The sequence below is a fragment of the Homo sapiens genome, chromosome 11 (assembly GCF_000001405.40).
Source record: "Homo sapiens chromosome 11, GRCh38.p14 Primary Assembly".
Lineage (NCBI taxonomy): Eukaryota > Metazoa > Chordata > Mammalia > Primates > Hominidae > Homo > Homo sapiens.
Window position 1 is genome coordinate 96,404,267 of NC_000011.10, and position 9,377 is coordinate 96,413,643.

General features: G+C 39.8%; 2 annotated features.

Annotated features, from left to right (window-relative positions):
* Nucleotides 6,462-7,108: an enhancer, noted in NCBI's record as "OCT4-NANOG-H3K27ac-H3K4me1 hESC enhancer chr11:96143892-96144538 (GRCh37/hg19 assembly coordinates)". NCBI's record gives its function as "activates a minimal SCP1, AML or CMV promoter by ChIP-STARR-seq in naive and primed H9 embryonic stem cells {active_cell/tissue: H9 hESC(naive and primed)}" and the evidence as "EXISTENCE:reporter gene assay evidence [ECO:0000049][PMID:30033119]".
* Nucleotides 7,109-7,755: an enhancer, noted in NCBI's record as "OCT4-NANOG-H3K27ac-H3K4me1 hESC enhancer chr11:96144539-96145185 (GRCh37/hg19 assembly coordinates)". NCBI's record gives its function as "activates a minimal SCP1, AML or CMV promoter by ChIP-STARR-seq in primed H9 embryonic stem cells {active_cell/tissue: H9 hESC(primed)}" and the evidence as "EXISTENCE:reporter gene assay evidence [ECO:0000049][PMID:30033119]".

Sequence of the window (9,377 nt, forward strand, 5' to 3'; positions counted from 1 at the left end):
TTATATTAATAGGAAGGATTAAAGGAATGGAGGGCATCATAAACATGAAGAAAAATGTGAGAGAGTATGATAATTGAAAGAAGAGTTTGTGTTCAAAGGGAGAGATTAAAGATGTGCAACTTCAGGTATTTACAGTATGTTGAGCCAAAGTATACAATCAGTCTTTGGCACTCTTTTAATGTCTAAGCTGTTTTCTCTTATTGTTATATAATAAGAGCCCTTACCCTTTTATTCACATTCTGAATCAGAAGACAACATTTTTCCTATTTTAATTATATGATGTTTATAGATTCTCAATTCAAAGAGATCTCTAAGAGGGGAGAAAAATAATTCTATAACTTTTGGAAGTATCAAGACAAGAAAAAGATTAATTGTGGTTGAAAATTCCTTGCGGTGCATAAATCTAAGATTTTATGGAAAGATAATAACATTCATAGGAAAAGATAAGAGAAACCTGAAAAAGAGAGATGAGTTAATAAGAAATGGGATATTGAAAAGATTAGTAATCAGCATTTGAATAATGTTTTATATCTTTCTGAATAAGGAAAATTAAAATTATGGTCATAAAACATGAGCAATAATGATGGGAGTTTTTAAAAAGTTTTTTAAAAATATATTTTATATTGGGATGCTTTCAAGCTGACCAAGAGCAGTTATGTTGTTTTAGTTGCCACCTAAATGAAATTGTGTAGCAGTGGGAATCTACTTTTTCACTAATAGCATTTTGATAAAAGATCATAGAGATGATTGATATTTGATGCCATTCTGAGATTAAGATAATTAATGGTATTAAGCAGCTAAGCTCTCCTATTTAATCCCCTTTTTAATACATATTGTCTTATCGTCCAGTCTAATGGAATATATGCCTTCTTAGCAAACTCATTGTTGTCTATAGACTGTTCCCCAGCTCGTTCTCTCTGTCTTTTGTTGTTTGATCTCTGTATCTATTAAGAGGTTGGCAAGGAAAGATCCTGAGTGGATTTTAAATTGACACAAATAATAGGGAATTGTCTGTACATATGTAAGGCAAAAAATGTACAAATTCAAGTTTTTATAAAAGACTTGTTTGACAAGGCACTCCTTGTTGTATAAGACATACAAAGAAGAAAAATCTTTGCTATAGAAATGTATGAGAGCTCCATGGCAACTGAAAACAAGATGCTGCATTTGATCGTACAATTAAGCACCACTATTAGTTTCTATTTTCATTTAAGTATTTAGAACTAGTCTATTTTTATTCTATCTATTACAGACATTTTAACAAATAAAACTGGATACAACATGGAAAAATTAGTTTTCCATGAATTAATTTTATAAGCTATATTTGTACCTTAGTAAAATCTCCTTTTTTCTTTTTTTTTTTTTTTATTATACTTTAAGTTTTAGGGTACATGTGCACATTGTGCAGGTTAGTTACATATGTATACATGTGCCGTGCTGGTGCGCTGCACCCATTAACTCGTCATCTAGCATTAGGTATATCTCCCAATGCTATCCCTCCCCCCTCCCCCCACCCCACAACAGTCCCCAGAGTGTGATGTTCCCCTTCCTGTGTCCATGTGATCTCATTGTTCAATTCCCACCTATGAGTGACAATATGCGGTGTTTGGTTTTTTGTTCTTGCGATAGTTTACTGAGAATGATGATTTCCAATTTCATCCATGTCCCTACAAAGGACGTGAACTCATCATTTTTTATGGCTGCATAGTATTCCATGGTGTATATGTGCCACATTTTCTTAATCCAGTCTATCATTGTTGGACATTTGGGTTGGTTCCAAGTCTTTGCTATTGTGAATAATGCCGCAATAAACATACATGTGCATGTGTCTTTATAGCAGCATGATTCATAGTCATTTGGGTATATACCCAGTAATGGGATGGCTGGGTCAAATGGTATTTCTAGTTCTAGATCCCTGAGGAATCGCCACACTGACTTCCACAATGGTTGAACTAGTTTACAGTCCCACCAACAGTGTAAAAGTGTTCCTGTTTCTCCACATCCTCTCCAGCACCCGTTGTTTCCTGACTTTTTAATGATTGCCATTCTAACTGGTGTGAGATGGTATCTCATAGTGGTTTTGATTTGCATTTCTCTGATGGCCAGTGATGATGAGCATTTTTTCATGTGTTTTTTGGCTGCATAAATGTCTTCTTTTGAGAAGTGTCTGTTCATGTCCTTTGCCCACTTTTTGATGGGGTTGTTTGTTTTTTTCTTGTAAATTTGTTGGAGTTCATTGTAGATTCTGGATATTAGCCCTTTGTCAGATGAGTGGGTTGCGAAAATTTTCTCCCATTTTGTAGGTTGCCTGTTCACTCTGATGGTAGTTTCTTTTGCTGTGCAGAAGCTCTTTAGTTTAATTAGATCCCATTTGTCAATTTTGGCTTTTGTTGCCATTGCTTTTGGTGTTTTGGACATGAAGTCCTTGCCCATGCCTATGTCCTGAATGGTAATGCCTAGGTTTTCTTCTAGGGTTTTTATGGTTTTAGGTCTAACGTTTAAATCTTTAATCCATCTTGAATTGATTTTTGTATAAGGTGTAAGGAAGGGATCCAGTTTCAGCTTTCTACATATGGCTAGCCAGTTTTCCCAGCACCATTTATTAAATAGGGAATCCTTTCCCCATTGCTTGTTTTTCTCAGGTTTGTCAAAGATCAGATAGTTGTAGGTATGTGGCGTTATTTCTGAGGGCTCTGTTCTGTTCCATTGATCTATATCTCTGTTTTGGTACCAGTACCATGCTGTTTTGGTTACTGTAGCCTTGTAGTATAGTTTGAAGTCAGGTAGTGTGATGCCTCCAGCTTTGTTCTTTTGGCTTAGGATTGACTTGGCGACGCGGGCTCTTTTTTGGTTCCATAATGAACTTTAAAGTAGTTTTTTCCAATTCTGTGAAGAAAGTCATTGGTAGCTTGATGGAGATGGCATTGAATCTGTAAATTACCTTGGGCAGTATGGCCATTTTCACGATATTGATTCTTCCTACCCATGAGCATGGAATGTTCTTCCATTTGTTTGTATCCTCTTTTATTTCTTTGAGCAGTGGTTTGTAGTTCTCCTTGAAGAGGTCCTTCACATCCCTTGTAAGTTGGATTCCTAGGTATTTTATTCTCTTTGAAGCAATTGTGAATGGGAGTTCACTCATGATTTGGCTCTCTGTTTGTCTGTTGTTGGTGTATAAGAATGCTTGTGATTTTTGCACATTGATTTTGTATCCTGAGACTTTGCTGAAGTTGCTTATCAGCTTAAGGAGATTTTGGGCTGAGACAATGGGGTTTTCTAGATATACAATCATGTTGTCTGCAAACAGGGACAATTTGACTTCCTCTTTTCCTAATTGAATACCCTTTATTTCCTTCTCCTGCCTAATTGCCCTGGCCAGAACTTCCAACACTATGTTGAATAGGAGTGGTGAGAGAGGGCATCCCTGTCTTGTGCCAGTTTTCAAAGGGAATGCTTCCAGTTTTTGCCCATTCAGTATGATATTGGCTGTGGGTTTGTCATAGATAGCTCTTATCATTTTGAAATACGTCCCATCAATACCTAATTTATTGAGAGTTTTTAGCATGAAGGGTTGTTGAATTTTGTCAAAGGCTTTTTCTGCATCTATTGAGATAATCATGTGGTTTTTGTCTTTTGCTCTGTTTATATGCTGGATTACATTTATTGATTTGCGTATATGGAACCAGCCTTGCATCCCAGGGATGAAGCCCACTTGATCATAGTGGATAAGCTTTTTGATGTGCTGCTGGATTCGGTTTGCCAGTATTTTATTGAGGATTTTTGCATCAATGTTCATCAAGGATATTGGTCTAAAATTCTCTTTTTTGGTTGTGTCTCTGCCCGGCTTTGGTATCAGAATGATGCTGGCCTCATAAAATGAGTTAGGGAGGATTCCCTCTTTTTCTATTGATTGGAATAGTTTCAGAAGGAATGGTACCAGTTCCTCCTTGTACCTCTGGTAGAATTCGGCTGTGAATCCATCTGGTCCTGGACTCTTTTTGGTTGGTAAACTATTGATTATTGCCACAATTTCAGCTCCTGTTATTGGTCTATTCAGAGATGCAACTTCTTCCTGGTTTAGTCTTGGGAGAGTGTATGTGTCGAGGAATTTATCCATTTCTTCTAGATTTTCCAGTTTATTTGCGTAGAGGTGTTTGTAGTATTCTCTGATGGTAGTTTGTATTTCTGTGGGATCGGTGGTGATATCCCCTTTATCATTTTTTATTGTGTCTATTTGATTCTTCTCTCTTTTTTTCTTTATTAGTCTTGCTAGCGGTCTATCAATTTTGTTGATCCTTTCAAAAAACCAGCTCCTGGATTCATTGATTTTTTTGAATGGTTTTTTGTGTCTCTATTTCCTTCAGTTCTGCTCTGATTTTAGTTATTTCTTGCCTTCTGCTAGCTTTTGAATGTGTTTGCTCTTGCTTTTCTAGTTCTTTTAATTGTGATGTTAGGGTGTCAATTTTGGATCTTTCCTGCTTTCTCTTGTGGGCATTTAGTGCTATAAATTTCCCTCTACACACTGCTTTGAATGCATCCCAGAGATTCTGGTATGTCATGTCTTTGTTCTCGTTGGTTTCAAAGAACATCTTCATTTCTGCCTTCATTTTGTTATGTACCCAATAGTCATTCAGGAGCAGGTTGTTCAGTTTCCATGTAGTTGAGCGGCTTTGAGTGAGATTCTTAATCCTGAGTTCTAGTTTGATTGCACTGTGGTCTGAGAGATAGTTTGTTATAATTTCTGTTCTTTTACATTTGCTGAGGAGAGCTTTACTTCCAACTGTGTGGTCAATTTTGGAACAGGTGTGGTGTGGTGCTGAAAAAAATGTATATTCTGTTGATTTGGGGTGGAGAGTTCTGTAGATGTCTATTAGGTCCGCTTGGTGCAGAGCTGAATTCAATTCCTGGGTATCCTTGTTGACTTTGTGTCTCGTTGATCTGTCTAATGTTGACAGTGGGGTGTTAAAGTCTCCCATTATTAATGTGTGGGAGTCTAAGTCTCTTTGTAGGTCACTCAGGACTTGCTTTATGAAGCTGGGTGCTCCTGTATTGGGTGCATATATATTTAGGATAGTTAGCCCTTCTTGTTGAATTGATCCCTTTACCATTATGTAATGGCCTTCTTTGTCTCTTTTGATCTTTGTTGGTTTAAAGTCTGTTTTATCAGAGACTAGGATTGCAACCCCTGCCTTTTTTTGTTTTCCATTTGCTTGGTAGATCTTCCTCCATCCTTTTATTTTGAGCCTATGTGTGTCTCTGCACGTGAGATGGGTTTCCTGAATACAGCACACTGATGGGTCTTGACTCTTTATCCAATTTGCCAGTCTGTGTCTTTTAATTGGAGCATTTCGTCCATTTACATTTAAAGTTAATATTGTTATGTGTGAATTTGATCCTGTCATTATGATGTTAGCTGGTGATTTTGCTCGTTAGTTGACGCAGTTTCTTCCTAGTCTCGATGGTCTTTACATTTTGGCATGATTTTTCAGCAGCTGGTACTGGTTGTTCCTTTCCATGTTTAGCGCTTCCTTCAGGAGCTCTTTTAGGGCAGGCCTGGTGGTGACAAAATCTCTCAGCATTTGCTTGTCTGTAAAGTATTTAATTTCTCCTTCACTTATGAAGCTTAGTTTGGCTGGATATGAAATTCTGGGTTGAAAATTCTTTTCTTTAAGAATGTTGAATATTGGCCCCCACTCTCTTCTGGCTTGTAGGGTTTCTGCCGAGAGATCCGCTGTTAGTCTGATGGGCTTCCCTTTGAGGGTAACCCGACCTTTCTCTCTGGCTGCCCTTAACATTTTTTCCTTCCTTTCAACTTTGGTAAATCTGACAATTATGTGTCTTGGAGTTGCTCTTCTCGAGGAGTATCTTTGTGGCGTTCTCTGTATTTCCTGAATCTGAACGTTGGCCTGCCTTGCTAGATTGGGGAAGTTCTCCTGGATAATATCCTGCAGAGTGTTTTCCAACTTGGTTCCATTCTCCTCATTACTTTCAGGTACACCAATCAGACGCAGATTTGGTCTTTTCACATAGTCCCATATTTCTTGGAGGCTTTGCTCATTTCTTTTTAATCTTTTTTCTCTAAACTTCCCTTCTCACTTCATTTCATTCATTTCATCTTCCCTTGCTGATACCCTTTCTTCCAGTTGATTGCATCGGCTCCTGAGGCTTCTGCATTCTTCACGTAGTTCTCGAGCCTTGGTTTTCAGCTCCATCAGCTCCTTTAAGCACTTCTCTGTATTGGTTATTCTAGTTATACATTCTTCTAAATTTTCTTCAAAGTTTTCAACTTCTTTGCCTTTGGTTTGAATGTCCTCCCATAGCTCAGAGTAATTGGATCGTCTGAAGCCTTCTTCTCTCAGCTCGTCAAAGTCATTCTCCATCCAGCTTTGTTCCATTGCTGGTGAGGAACTGCGTTCCTTTGGAGGACGAGAGGCGCTCTGCGTTTTAGAGTTTCCAGTTTTTCTGTTCTGTTTTTTCCCCATCTTTGTGGTTTTATCTACTTTTGGTCTTTGATGATGGTGATGTACAGATGGGTTTTCGGTGTGGATGTCCTTTCTGTTTGTTAGTTTTCCTTCTAACAGACAGGACCCTCAACTGCAGGTCTGTTGAAATACCCTGCCTTGTGAGGTGTCAGTGTGCCCCTGCTGGGGGGTGCCTCCCAGTTAGGCTGCTCGGGGGTCAGGGGTCAGGGACCCACTTGAGGAGGCAGTCTGCCGGTTCTCAGATCTCCAGCTGCGTGCTGGGAGAACCACTGCTCTCTTCAAAGCTGTCAGACAGGGTCATTTAAGTCTGCAGAGGTTACTGCTGTCTTTTTGTTTGTCTGTGCCCTGCCCCCAGAGGTGGAGCCTACAGTGGCAGGCAGGCCTCCTTGAACTGTGGTGGGCTCCACCCAGTTCGAGCTTCCCGGCTGCTTTGTTTACCTAAGCAAGCCTGGGCAATGGCGGGCGCCCCTCCCCCAGACTCGCTGCCGCCTTGCAGTTTGATCTCAGACTGCTGTGCTAGCAATCAGCGAGATTCCGTGGGCGTAGGACCCTCCGAGCCAGGTGTGGGATATAGTCTCGTGGTGCGCCGTTTTTTAAGCCGGTCTGAAAAGCGCAATATTCGGGTGGGAGTGCCCCGATTTTCCAGGTGCGTCCGTCACCCCTTTCTTTGACTCGGAAAGGGAACTCCCTGACCCCTTGCGCTTCCCAGGTGAGGCAATGCCTCGCCCTGCTTCGGCTCGCGCAGGGTGCGCGCACACACTGGCCTGCGCCCACTGTCTGGCACTCCCTAGTGAGATGAACCCGGTACCTCAGATGGAAATGCAGAAATCACCCGTCTTCTGCGTCGCTCACGCTGGGAGCTGTAGACCGGAGCTGTAGACCGGAGCTGTTCCTATTCGGCCATCTTGGCTCCTCCCAAATCTCCTTTTTTCTTATCTTAATGGGGAAAATTGCATTTTATATATTAAACAATAACATGTGTCTTAGATAAACACTTATCTCTTTTAATTTAAGCACTGTTTTTTCCTTTCATGTGACTATGTAATTTCGTCATTCATTCATCTCAAATATTTATCTACCTACAAATATTAACCTACTTCATAAACAAAAAGTTGAAAAAGTCATTCCCCAATTTCTTTCTGCAGATTTGTGACCGTGGACTTGAAATTAAATGTTTAGATATTTTTGTATGTTAGAAAAATGACGCTTGTACTTTAGGTTGTTAGAGTACTTTTGTGATCAATGAGATGATAGGGAGATGCCCAGAAAGATTGATTATTTTTGATGCATTTTAGCATACAAATTGGCTCTTAAAACTGGAATTATTTTGTGGTTATCATTTAGAAATATTTACAATATGAATATTTATTGATTGATTACTGTAAGTGCATTATACAAATAATCCATTTTGTTGACACACATTCCAGACATTTATACATAATACCCATTTTATCTTACTTAGAGATGATTTGTTAGGTTAAAAAAATCTCAAAGACAAAAGTAGAGAGATAAAAAATGCTTAATAATGATTATACTCTAAAAATGCTAAAATATCTAATATAAGTGTTATCTTAAGTGAGTTTTCATAAAATCTTTCCCTAGGTAATGAATGTTTTATTAAATTGCAAAAATGTCTGGTCTGTAATACATGTCTTTTATTTTTACAGTCATCATGACTGATGTGTTAACATTAATCATATATTCCACAGCTTTACAGAGTTGGCTTCTAATTAGGCTATTGCCATCATCCTTATTAAAAGAGCTGGAATTTATGAATTTAGCCTAATTGGGCTAAACCTGATCTGGGTTGACCAAGACTCCTGCATATATTCAAAACAGGAAATTAATTTTCAAGCATGCACCATATTTTTTGTTATTGTGTGGCAATATACAAAGTTACATAAAAACTTTTAAAAGTATAATACACAAAAAGCTTTAAGAAGGAGGCAGATCAAGAACGGCCAGATAGAAGCCTCTACCAACTGTCCTCACCACAGGAGCACCCAATTTGACAACTATCTGCACAAAAAAAGCACCTTCATGGGAACCAAGAATCTGGTGAGTGATCATGATCACTGCATCTGGTTTTAACTTCATATCACTGAAAGAGGCAATGAGGATCTTAGGAAAGACAGCCTTGAATTTCCAACATGACCTCTGCCCAATCCCCTGCCAGTGACCATGTGGCAGGGAGAGAGAATATGTACTCTTGGGAGAGGAAGAGCACAGCAATTAAGGAACTTGCATTGGAATGCAGTGCTGCCAACACTTGGTAGAACTCAGCTGGCACTCATGGAGGGAGCATTTAGACCAGTGTTAGTCAAAGGGCAATCACCCATGCCAGTGGTCAGAACCTGAATTTGTCAAGCCTTGCCATTGTGGGCTAAAGTACTCTGGGGATCTAAAAAAAAAACCTTGAAAGCCTGCCTAGGCCACAAGGACTGCAACTGCTAGGCAAATCCTAGTGCTGTGCTGGGCTCAGAGTCCGTGGACTGTGGGTGGTTGGGGTGGGGAGTGACATAGTGAGAAACCTGCCAGGGCAGCTAAGGGAGTGCTAGTATCACCCCTCTTCCAACTCCAGGAAGTAGAGCTCACAGTTCTGAAAGAGACCCTTTACTTTCACTTGGGCAGAGGAGAGGGAAGAGTAAAGCATACTTTGTCTTGCAACTTGGATACCAGCTCAAACACAGTAGGATAGGGTACCAGGCAGCTTGTGAGGCCCCCATTTCAGGCCCACCCTAGCTCTCAGACATTTCCAGACATGCCCTGGGCCAGAAGGGAACCCACTACCTTGAAGGGAAGGACCCAGACCTGGCATGATTCATGATCTGCTGAGTAAAGAGCCCTTGGCTCTGAATAATCATCAGCAACAACTAGGTAGTACACACCATGGGC